Below are 13,413 nucleotides of genomic sequence, written 5' to 3' on the forward strand. Positions count from 1 at the left end.
ACTGTGAAAATCGACACGGTAAATTCAGAATAAAAGAGGAAACATCCCACCTTTAGGCCACTGATTTTCAACCACTAATGCTGCATTTTCTTCATTATCACCAGAATCCAGTCTGCTTGCCCAGACACCTCCCTATGTGGGCATGGCTAGGATGGGCACCCATATTTGCTTCTGCCACTTTACCTCTCATATTTTCAAGGAAGACGCACCCACCATGCCTTCTAATACAGTCTTTTTTAGATGCCTTAATGTATTCAAAAGTTATATCAAGTCTTTCAATCTAGGAAGCTATTTTGTTTGAGGTACGATAGTCTGACTGAAATTCATTCATTCAACTTATGATCATTTTATAGTTTATTTCTTTGAAGAGAATTTATTTATAACCTTCCTTTTTGCCAGAAACAAGAGACACAAGAGACACTGAATTTTTAGTGCATGTCTACAGGTTTAATCTTTAATCTTATCTCTGACTCTCACACTTCCTACCCTCCTATAATACAATATAATATAAATAACCTTGGGGTATCCATTTATTAGGTTAACTGATAATATAAGAGGCTCCCCCCACCTCTCTCTCCCTCTCTCCATATTGATAAAGACATAGATATTGTCAGGCCTCTGAGCCCAAGCTAAGCCATCATATCCCCAGTGACCTGCATGTATACATCCAGATGGCCTGAAGCAAGTGAAGAATCACAAAAGAAGTGAAAATGGCCGGTTCCTGCCTTAACTAATGACATTACCTTGTGAAATTCCTTCTCCTGGCTCAGAAGCTCCCCCACTGAGCACCTTATGACCCCCCCACCCCTGCCCACCAGAGAACAACAACCCCCTTTGACTGTAATTTTCCACTACCTACCCAAATCCTATAAAACGGCCCCACCCCTGTCTCCTTTCCCAGACTCTCTTTTCGGACTCAGCCAGCCTGCACCCAGGTGATTAGAAAGCTGTATTGCTCACACAAAGCCTGTTTGTTGGTCTCTTCACACGGATGCATGTGATAGATATACAAAGCATTTTTATAGTCACATTTTGGTGCTCAACTAAGGCTCCCTGATTACACCTCTGCCATATGGATAGTAAGTCACTTAAGCTTGTAGAGGAGTATATTTAATTCTCCTTTTTGATTCTATAATTTTTAACTATAGAATCTCAGTTTAGCCTATAGGTTTTCTACCATGAAAGGCATTTCTACCCCTACTGTAGGGTAGGAATGAGTTTCCCAATCAAATTATTAAAAGTTAGATTAACTCTTGGTGATTTTTGCTTAGATTTTAAAACTCTTATTATTGCCTGCAGCTCACAATCACAGATACAATTGTGATAAAAACTGTAGTGTACATAGTTCGTGTTATGAGCGTAATGGAAAGGGCAGAGGAGAGCACCCCATAAGGGTCACATTTAGAAAGAAATAGATTCTGTGAAAAGTAGAATCATATACTATGCTCAATTTACTATTTTAAATGATTAAAGTTTAAATAATATTCAACAAATACATTCCACAGTTCCATATATAAAATTTGCAAGATTTACAGTTATATATTTATCTTGTTTGGGTGGAGGTCTATGAAACATATAAACTTCAGATCAGATTTTCACAAGCTGTTGTTTTTGGCAGCTCCACCTCCCTCATCCCACCACATTTGCGTTAAGCAAGAACAAATCAGACCTTCGATTTTTACTGTTGAGATGGCAGCATCCAAAATTTGAGGTAGCTGAATTTGATGATAATTTAGGGTTGATTAAACCATTCCTATGAATTGCTTCTTTTCTTGGCAAGTGTTTACAGTGTTCAAGCTTGAGCTCTATTTACAGCAACCCCATTTCACAAGATGCATTATTTGAAGGGGGGCTGTGGGCTGTGTGCATTTTTGGAACTGACTTTTAGAGTGTTCCTACTCCAACCACACATTTGTGTGGTATTTGTGAATTCAGTGCTTGTGCTTAGCATTTGATAAGGTGCAGGGAGATTGGTCTGAAGTGGTCTCAGTGCTAAGGCCAGAGAATCTGCTGAAAATTCTTACATGATGAAAACCCTGGCTTGCTAGCAACTGATATTTCCCTCCATCCCAGGGAATAGCACTTCTTATCTTTGTTCCGTTGTGGTTTCTTATCTTATCCTGGCAGAAATAAGAGACTACCTTCCTGTGAATGAAGGCCTCAGACTGTGAAATTTGCTGTATTTGAAATCCTAGACTTGCTTTGGAGTCATAATGGATTCCAACTGGTCAATATCAGCAAGGTAGTGCTGTCTTTAAATAGCAGGTCCAGGTCAAGGATGCATAACAAGAAGTGTAGAATGTAGAATGGTATGGTAGGCATACATTTTTCCCATCATTTTCATTTATTCGTGGGTCATTTATTAAATAAGAGACTTTAACAACCCCTTGCTGCTTGACAGAAAGCATGCAGGCTCACAAATCTGGCAAAAAACACACAAAACCCTCTTCAGATCCAGTTTAGATGTAAACATAAGACCTCTGAAAAAAAGTTGCTACGACTAAATATTTTAATATATTCTAAATCTGACTCCAAAATAATTGCAACAAGAGAAATGTAAGTTAGAAAATAAGAGTTTTACATTTAAAAAAATCATTAAGGAAAATTGTAGAAACCCCAGTTTAGGAAGTCTTTAAATTTAGATTTTATTGTAGGTTTTAACGCTGATCTTATCTCCAGTAATAAGTGACCTTGCAATAACTTTGTTCAATAAGTTGTACTTTTTTTTGAAGTGTTTTCAATAAATGTAATCATATATCTCAGTGTCCAGATGAATCATCTGTTTTTTAACTTGGATAATTTCTGTTCCTACTTTCGTTTTATACAGTTTTTTTTTTTTTTTTGAGACGGAGTCTCGCTCTGTCGCCCAGGCTGGAGTGCAGTGGCGGGATCTCGGCTCACTGCAAGCTCCGCCTCCCGGGTTCACGCCATTCTCCTGCCTCAGCCTCCCAAGTAGCTGGGACTACAGGCGCCCGCCACTACGCCCGGCTAATTTTTTGTATTTTTAGTAGAGACGGGGTTTCACCGTTTTAGCCGGGATGGTCTCGATCTCCTGACCTCGTGATCCGCCCGCCTCGGCCTCCCAAAGTGCTGGGATTACAGGCGTGAGCCACCGCGCCCGGCCCGTTTTATACAGTTTTAAAGGGTATATGTATTTGTTGAAATATCATTCTTCTCTTTCTTAGTTGCTTGTTTTGAAGAATTTACAGAAACACTTCTGTAGTGGGAAGAATGCTAAGCAGCTAATGAAAATGCTAATTAACTATAAACAAACAAAAATAATGGTAAACCATAATTTTACAACCAAACAACATCTAAAGCCAACTAATTTCCATGAACAGAAATTATTTCAGCATGTGGTCAAGGAAAATTCAAGTTTCCTGGCAAATTCAAAGAAACAACTAATATGTTGATAATGTGGTTGTCTAAAACCTTTGATTGATAAGCTAACAAAAAATTATATTAAATGTTATCAAAGCTATATTATTTAGTATAGCATTCTCTGGTTTCATTTTAACTGGTTATTTTACCATAACACTTTCACCTAATTATACTCTGACTATCATACAAGTTTCCAGGATGCTGAAAAATATAAAAATAATAACCTAAAAAATGAAGATAAAAAAACAAACATCTTAATTTAAATGATCTATTTGGAACAAGAAAGTTCTTTTGCTTATGAAAAGTCATAAATTTTAATTTCCTAAAATTTATGTTAGGATAAAAGAAATATGCTGCAAATTATGGTAATACACATAAGTCCATTTTGGGCAGGTTTGTTAAATTAAACAAGCATTTTCTATACTCATTATATCATTGGTTTAAATTACACTTTATGAAGAAATATTATTTAAAGTATATTTATAGGTCGGAGTAAGGACAAAATTAAAATTTCATACATTTTTGGTTAACTTTGATCCTTTGAATATTTGCACTTATTAAAATTATTTTTTACATTTTTGTCAACTCCTATAAAACTTCTCTGTTATCTATGTAGATTTAGAGATAACTTTGCATACCAGGATGGGTTGTTCTCCCTGAGGAAAGTTTTTATCAAATATTTTTCTAGAAAAATGTGTCTATAAAGACAACTTTAGGAGACAGGAGGAAAAGGCTGATTTCTGGATGCTTATCTAAAGATTGAACAGACTGTAACTTTTGTGATGCCTTTCTTATTTACCCTTGTGTCTCAAGAACCTAGGAGAACAACTTATACCAATTCATTAAATATTTTATTGACTGAACCAAAAATGAGAGTGCTAACAGACTTTTTATGTACTCACTTATTCAAGAAATAACTACTGGGCAAGGCCAACGTGCCAGACATTGGACTAGATACTGTGTACATTCTTAAATTTGCTTTGCTGGAAGTTTTATCACGAATCTTTGGACTTTAAAAACCTTCTCAGGCTATGGATCTAAGCCAAGAATTGATCATAATATTTCACCTTCAGCACCCATACATTTCATTAAATTATTTTCTTCTCGAGGTTTCCAAAATATCACAAGTTTCCCTCCCTGTGTCCATGTGTTCTCATTGTTCAACTCCTACTTATAAGTGAGAACATGCAGTGTTTGGTTTTCTGTTCATGTGTTAGTTTGCTGAGAATGATGGGCCTGTCGTGGGGTTGGGGCAGGGGTTGGGGAGGGATAGCATTAGGAGAAATACCTAATGTAGGTGACAGGTTGATGGGTGCAGCGACTTAAGCAGCAAAGGTCAGGAAGTGACCTTTCTTTAAGGTTATTTTATCTGCAAGTAAGACCAGACCATTTTTCTGAAGGTTTTGTAAGCATTGGCTTCATCGAATCAAACATAGGCCTTTAAAAGTGTCTGGTTATAGAAGCATCATTTGACCCAGCGATCCCATTACTGGGTATATACCCAAAGGATTATAAATCATTCTACTATATAGACACATGTACATGTATGTTTATTGCAGCACTCTTCACAATAGCAAAGACTTGGAACCAACCCAAATGCCCATCAATGATAGACTGGATAAAGAGAATGTGGCACATATACACCATGGAATACTATGCAGCCATAAAAAGGATGAGTTCATGTCCTTTGCAGGGACATGGATGAAGCTGGAAACCATCATTCTCAGCAAACTAACACAGGAACAGAAAACCAAACACTGCATGTTCTCGCTCACAAGTGGGAGTTGAACAATGAGAACACATGGACACAGGGAGGGGACCGTCATACACCGGGGCCTGTCAGGGGGTCGGGGGCTAGGGGAGGGATAGCATTAGGAGAAATACCTAATGTAGATGATGGGTTGATGGGTGCAGCAAACAACCATGGCACGTGTATACCTATGCAACTAGCCTGCATGTTCTGCACATGTATCCCAGAACTTAAAGTATATTAAAAAAAGTGTCTGGTTATAATTAATTCAATGAGCATCATTCTCAAATATGACATTCCAGGCAAAGACTTGGTCACATAACCAATGTTTCCATGTGTGCTCTTTAAAAGGAGGACAGGTTCTTATTGAACCCATGCATATAACTATGCTGCCAAGAAAATAAGAATACTTAACTCTGAAAAGATCAGACAGGGAGATAAAGATACATATTTCATTTCCTTTAACAAAAGCATAATCCATTAAATCGTTATGAGGTATAGCTAAAGATACAGATAGATGATATCACTGGAGAAAAGAGAGTTTCTTATATCCCCAAAAGAGAATTATAACACAACAATATTTCAAACAAAAACCAGAATTATTTCTCATCAGTTCATTCAGTCCTGTGTAATTAATTATTGTTCCACTTGATTATGGGTTATCAGTCTCATGAACCCATCTGCTTTTCGGCTAGAAATCTGGAAGTCCTGACTCAGTGCACTGGTATGATGTTAAAGTTTTTAAAGCAATACTATAATATCAGAAGATGGTACCCAAGAGAACTTGGCATAGTCATGGGGCTCTGAGACCATCCTTTATTACAGTCAAAACATTCTGGCTTGTAGCTAGCACTTTTAGAGAAGCATCAAAATTAAACAAAAACACTTTCTGTAGATGACAAAACTTAAAATAACTGTGGTTAATTTATTGCTGATAATTTTCAAGAGGTAAAGACCTGATAAGAGTTAACTATGAAAATCATGCAATTGACAAAGAACTGTGTTTTCTGTGGCAGGCAAAGAAAATCAATAAAAACAGTTGATAAAATATCTTAAAATATAATATTTAACCCTGTTTTTAAAGAAGACTTGATGTAGCATCTAATTTATAAAAATTGGTACATAATCTTTACAAAGAAAAAAACCCTTCAGATATAATCTATGATAATTCTGAGACTTAGTATAACATGAATATACCAAACATATAGAGTGTACCGAGGATATATCAAGATTTTCAATTAAAGAGATGTAACAGTTCTGGAGTAGGTCCTGAACATCTGCATATTAATAAAACCCCATAAGTAAGTGATGTGAATGCCCTTTTGCAAACCACCAGGCTAGAAGATGCTAGATACAAATTAAAGAGGTAAAGTTGTAACAAAGTTAAACTTTAAAAAATATCTGTAATTATGGCCAATAGCACTATACTCATTATCTACTATTAGGCAAAGCAATACCAGGACTCTAAAACATATCTTTGACAGCTAATACACTGAAAAATATCCAGGGACTTTCCATACAGCACCTAATTCCTGAAATATGTATAACCATTTGCCTGTATGAATTTAACCCAGGGAAGGTTAAGTATCCCTTCTGATTTGGCAGTGGTTCCCACACAACTCAGCAGTAGTAACATATCAAATGGGTCTACTTATCTAGCATCTCTCTTTTTAGAAAGTAAGAGAAAACAATTCTTTGTGGTTTTCCAGAAGGCCTCTGGGAAATCTTGAAGTCAGCTTTAGGTGCAAAAGATGTCATTTAGAATTCAATTTTAGGAAAGCAGAACATCAGAAGTTCTTAGGAGAGTTGAATACTTGATTAAGATAAAATCATGGGTCACTGGGAAATAATAGTTGGCACCTATTTAATCTAAGTAACAATAAAAGATTTTAGAAAGAAACATTGGAGGTAATATTGTAAAAATCTTAGCCCTTTCAAGATTGAGAAAACTTTTATTAAATAATCAAGGGCATGATAAAATCAACATACAACAGACGGAATAATTTTGATAATACACAGAATCCCTGCCTTCTAGGCAGATTACTCAGAAGATAAAGAAAAACTGTTTCCAACAAAAACTTTTTATTGACCAATACTCCAAAAAATGTGAAAAACCAAAAAATCTTAAGAAGCACATTATTTTTGAAAACATAATAGATAAACCCATTAAACCTTAGCCAGCTTTGACCATAGCAAATAAGATTCTCTTTCCAAAAACCTTCTACAACTTTCTATATCCGTTCAAGTTTTGTCCTACACTTTCCTCTTTGTCATTCCAGAGCAATTGGTCATTTTTCTTTAGGACAAAACTATGATCTTTTTTTCTCTTAACAAAAGCACATTCTTCATACTTTGCATACAAAGTTTTACCTTTACTGCCACTATTGTTTCCTGGTACAACACATATATCGATTATAATTTTTAACCAAAGTAACTTCTCTTTCACAGTTAAAACTAGGAAATGATTAATTGTACCTTGCCTGTCACACACCAGTATTTTTCAGCAGACCAGCAGAGTTCATGAAAACTAATAGCTTACTACAGCCATTTTCATTTCTTATAGTACAACAAAGTGACAAAAGTGAACATGTTCACAGACCCAAATATACATAGTCTCTCTGTATCATATACAAATAAGAGACAAAAGTACTGAACTTAAAATTATGCTTAGGAAATAATACTTCAGCATTCTTTTACTGATAATCTAGTTATCTAATGTATATCCATTAATTAAGTAAATTTAGTATTAGTTCAATGTTTTAAATTACCTAAAAATCTTAGAGACTACCGAGGCGGGAGGATAACGAAGTCAGGAGTTTGAGACCAGCCTGGCCAACATGGTTAAACCTCGTCTCTACTAAAAATACGAAAATTAGCCAGGCGTGGTGGCAGGCACCTGTAGTCTCAGCTACTCGGGAGGCTGAGGCAGGAAAATAGCTTGAATCCAGGAGGCAGAGGTTGCAGTGAGCCGAGATTGCACCACTGCACTCCAGCCTGGGTGACAGAGCGAGACTCTGTCTCAAAAAAAGAAAAAAAATCAAAAAACAAAAAACAAAAAACTCACATACTACAAAATACAGTTTCTATTGAAATAAAGTTTGTCAAAATAATGATTCAATTTGGTTAAACAAATATTTAAATTTTTTCTGTCACATTAAACATTTGGCAAATAAAACAGGCTAGCTTATTTGATTAGTAAGCCTATATAAGTCTAGGAAGAACCACACAAACGTAATAAAAGCATAAGCTCGTGTTATAGTTAATGCTAAAGACACAGCTGATTTTTTTTTTTTTTTTTTTTTTTGAGACGGTGTTTCGCTCTGTCGCCAGGCTGGAGTGTGGCGGCACGATCTTGGCTCACTGCAACCTCCGCCTCCAGAGTTCGAGCAATTCTCCTGCCTCAGCCTCCCGAGTAGCTGGGGCTACAGGCATGTGCCACCATGCCCAGCTAATATTTGTATTTTTAGTAGAGACAAGGTTTCACTAGGTTGGCCAGGATGGTCTCGATCTCTTGACCTCGTGATCTGCCCACCTCAGACTCCCGAAGTGCTGGGATTAGAGGCGTGAGCTGCCATGCCCAGCAGACAGCTGTTTTTAGTAAACCAATAAGATTAAACTTGTCTGTTTTGCAAAGATTTACCTCAATTACATGAGCTTGAATTCTTAAGGCATTTGAATTAGTTTTTATATGATTTATATAGCACATTGAAAGTATTTAATATTTAAATCCTAATGTTTGCAAATTTTAGGAATATTTAGCTTATATAAGCATTTTCTTAAGCCAGTCAGAACAAAGCTTCTTTAAGAGATTTTATAATCTCGTTTGGTAATGCCACACAGAGGTAGAAAAATATTCCATACTCACAGACATATAAAAGTAGAGTTGGCCCTTAGTATCCATGGGTTCCACATCTGAAGATTTAATCAACCTGATTAAAAATAATTTAAAAAATTTGAGTACTGAACATGTACAAATTTATTTTCCTTGTCATTATTCCCTAAACAATACAACACTTCATATGGTGTTTACATTGTATTGGGTATTATAAATAATCTAGAGATGATTTAAAGTATACAGAAGGATATGTGCAGGTTAGATGCAAATACTAGGCCATTTTATATCAGAGACTTGAGCATCTGTAGATTTTGGTATCCATGAGAGGTCCCGGAAGCAATGCCCCACAGATACAGAATGACTGTACACAGAGAGGTTATAGCTTTAATTATTGACTTTTGGTCCTGGGGTAAGAGTAAATACATAATTACAAAATTTGCCAGTCCTTATTAAAGAGATAGTCTCTTCTTAGTGTATATGAATTCTTAATTGATTTGAGCTCAAAATATACAAACAGACAAACATAAAAGTCTAGCAAACCAGACACTTTGTTATGTTTCACCCAAAGAAGAGAAGGTCTCTATGAACCACTTACTCATTTATAGAAATCATCGAATGGTCAGACCATAAAACCAAAAGAAGCCACCACCAAAAATTTAGTCAGTACTCAAAGGAATCAAAATCCTTACTGTGCTGCAGAGGGACAAGAGTCCAGAACAGAGGACCAGGAGAGAGACTCATTGTTGGGTCTTTAGATCACCAGTCAGGAAAGGATCAGAGGGCCCTCTAAGGGGCTTCATTACCTAGGAGGAAATGAGGACCCAAAGGTGAGGTCTGATCCTATCAGTGGTGTGGCACCAAATTGTCCAAGACACAATGCACCAGACAACTAAGGAGATGACTTTACATAGGTTATTGCAGGATCCAAAGATTAGAGTTTCTCAACAGACTGGTTTTTCCTTAGACTTTTGAGGGGAGGAGCAAACAAGTTGCAGATGGAGTGATTTACAGCTGCAGTAGTTTTGCAAGTAGGAGAAGTTTCTGTCAGTTATCTGAATAGTGTTTCTATGATTAGCTAGTGCATTAGTTTCCTATTACTGTTGTAACATATTACCATAAATTTAACGTATTAAAACAATACACATTTGTTATTTTGCAGTTCTGAAGGTCAGAAATCTGAAAAACATCTCACTGGGCTGAGATCAAGGTGTTGGCAGGTCTGTATTCCTTTTGGAGGCTCTAGGAAATAGTCCATTTACTTCTCTTTTTCAGCTTCTAGTGGCCACCTGCCTTCCTTGGATCACGGCCCAGTTCCTCCATATTTGAAGCCAGCAATGTCAGGCCACCTCTCTAGTTCCTCTTTTTTTTCACTCTGACTTCTACATTTAAGGATTTTTGTGATTATATACACCTTGGTAATCTAGAATAATCTCACTATTTTAGGGTTATCTGATTAGCAACCTTTTCTCCATTTGAAAAATAATTCCCCTTTGTATGTAAGCTTACATAGTCACAGATTTTAGGAATTAGGATGTGGACATATTTAGCGGGTCATTATTTTGCCTACCACATTTAGTTTCAGGGGGATAAACAGTCCTCATGTCAGCTAATCAGTTAAAGAGGAGGATGTAGGAAGGCCTGTTAACACGTTGAAACAAAGGGGAGAGGGTTATGCTTGGTCTTGTCACAAGTAAACAAGGGAGACATCCACACATCTTACCAATCACAAGGAAGAAAGAACATTGTCTTAGTTAAGTTGTATAACCAAGGATGATTCTTCGTGTTAAACCACTTCTTAAGACACAAAACAGTAGGTTTTTAAAAAATTGTTACTGTTTTCTGGGAGCTCAGGGCTTCGTTTTTTTAAAATAGAAAAAAGAGTAAAATGTAGTAAGAAAAATTAAGAGGCAAATTAAGAAGCAGGAGCAACATAAAGATGCTGGGGCTAAGGCTTTAGACCCAGACCACTGGAATTTGAATTTGTGCTCTCCTACTTGCAAAAATTGTATAATCACGGGCAAGAGACTTAAACATTATACGCCTTAAACTCCTTATCTTTAAAGTGAATATGAAGTATCTGCTTCATAGCATGGTTGAGAGGATTATGAGATTATATATGTAAAATGCTTGTTACAGTGCCAGAAAGATAGTCAAATGTTCAGTTAATGTTATCTATTGTTAATTGATTAATGAATCACTCCAGTGAAATGTCATTGGGTAAGAAAAAAATGTGATGTATATTATGCTGAAAGATTTTTCAGTTTTTAATAGTTGTCAAGTTTTCATGAGTCTGGGTATATGATGGAATAAATAACTTTTTGTCTTTCTCCTCCCTCCACTTTCTTTTTATTTCTTGAGATGCATTCTTGCTCTGTCACCCACCTCAGCCTCCTGAGTATCTGGGATTACAGGCATATGCCACCACGCCTGGCTAATTTTTGTATTTTTTAGTAGACATGGGGTTACGCCATGTTGGCCAGGATGGTCTTGAACTCTTGACCTCAGGTGATCTGCCTGCCTCAGCCTCCCAAAATGCTGGGATTACAGATGTGAGCCACTGTGCCCGGCCCCTCCACTTTTAATAATGCTCCTCACAATAAAGCCCAATCACTGAGATAAGCTTAATTTGTTTTTGATACTTGAATCTTGGAAGATTCTATGTAATACATTGGCATAGTAGCCAAATTGCCAAGACTATATTAAGATTAGGAACTGGCAAGATAGAGGATTAGTTATCTGATGAGGGGCCTAGAATGTTCTTGAACTGGATCAGCTACACAGGAACCTTGATGCTGAGTTCCCCATTAGATTTGTCTTGCAGAGATTAACATCTTCTAGTAGATAAAATTCATTCACATTACTTTCATATGAAAGTAATGTACAGTTGACTGGTGAACAGCACAGGGGCTAGGGGTGCCAACACCCCTGCAAAGTCAAAAATCCATGTATAACTTTTGACTCCCCTAAAACTTAACTACTAGTAGCTTATGTTGACCAGAAGCCTTCCTGATAAAATAAACAGTCGATGAACACATATTTTGTATGTTATATGCTGTATTCCTACAATAAAGTAAGCTAGAGGAAAGAAAATGTTATTAAGAGAATCATAGGAAGAGAATATACATTTACAGTACTGTACTGAATCTCTTGATACCATAGGTTTACATCTTCTGTTTAAAAGATGAGTTAATTGTCTCCTTGAAATTGTACACAACCACGGCTGCAGACTTCAATCTATGGTACATATCAAACAATTCAATTTTTTCTTGTAGCATCGTGACTTTTCTCTGCTTCTTGATAGCCCGTCTAGGATCATTGGTGGCACTTCATTTGGGTTCCATGGTATTGTTGAAACTTTATGGTATTCCACCAAAAACAATGAATAATATCGAAGAACTGGGAGAGATCACTTTTTACTTCAACATGCAATTTACTGGACAGATGGACTGCTCACTGGGAAATTAGTGTCACATGGTGTTCTAAGTGGATCTTGCAACACTTGAGCTCCCACAGTAGCAACAGGAGGTGGCTATGAAATTATTACACTAGTACAGTATGTACTACAGTTGACTTAATGCAGTTACAGTTTAATACTGAATCTACATTTGTTTACATTTCTCTCAACAGCAAATGTCATCATGTATTATCTGTTTTTGTATGCATGAATTTTGATAAATTTTAACTTTTTATAATAATTTTTGTATATTTTATGGTAATAAATGATAAAGTACACTAGTATCTACCTACATTGCATGCATTCACGGCATATCTAACATTTTCTGATTTTTTTTTTATATTTCTAGGGTGCACAGTTTGTCTGTAAGTTTTTTCAAATTGTTGCAGGTCTCCAAAAGTTTTTTTCAATATATTTATTGCAAAAATCCACAGAAAAGTGGACCTGTGCAATTCAAACTTGTGTTGTTCAGGGGCCAACTATAACTGCTTTAACTGGTTGCATTTTTATCAATTTTCTGTAACTTAACTTCTATGTATATAGAGCTAGCTGTAAACTAGCCTAAGTGAATCACAAATCTCATCAGATGTTCCTACCCCCTCCCCAAATAGGATCAGGTAATTCCCAGAATGTCTGCTAGATGATGCTGAATCATCTCTTTTTCCTGTTCCCAAGTCTTGGACAATTTTCCCAACAACTTATAAACAAGTCAGAATTCAGCAATACGGTGTGCAGAGAGAAATCAGGCAGGGTCTTGCAAGTGAATATGGAGAGTCCATTATGAATGATTCAGGACGCACTTCAGGACCAAACTACCCCAAAGGTGATCCCAAACATACTTATTTGAAAATATTGGTTGCTTTGATTCCAAACAAAGTCCATTTTTTGAGCTCATGGCATATTTGAGTTTTTATGTACTTCTATTTTTTTCATTTAACGTTATTTCTTTGACATTTTAAGTAAAATGCATTGTCAGCACATATCCTGAATGAT

The 13,413-nt window shown here is 36.4% G+C and overlaps 1 long non-coding RNA gene across 4 annotated transcripts in view, besides 1 other annotated feature; it reads left to right on the top strand.

Moving 5' to 3' along the window:
- LOC124902439 (uncharacterized) overlaps window positions 1-13,413 on the top strand; it is an 820,351-nt gene that overhangs the window by 633,623 nt on the left and 173,315 nt on the right. The window lies entirely within an intron of this gene.
- Window positions 473-997: an enhancer, noted in NCBI's record as "NANOG hESC enhancer chr10:66266441-66266965 (GRCh37/hg19 assembly coordinates)". NCBI's record gives its function as "activates a minimal SCP1, AML or CMV promoter by ChIP-STARR-seq in naive H9 embryonic stem cells {active_cell/tissue: H9 hESC(naive)}" and the evidence as "EXISTENCE:reporter gene assay evidence [ECO:0000049][PMID:30033119]".

This window comes from Homo sapiens, chromosome 10, assembly GCF_000001405.40.
Source record: "Homo sapiens chromosome 10, GRCh38.p14 Primary Assembly".
Lineage (NCBI taxonomy): Eukaryota > Metazoa > Chordata > Mammalia > Primates > Hominidae > Homo > Homo sapiens.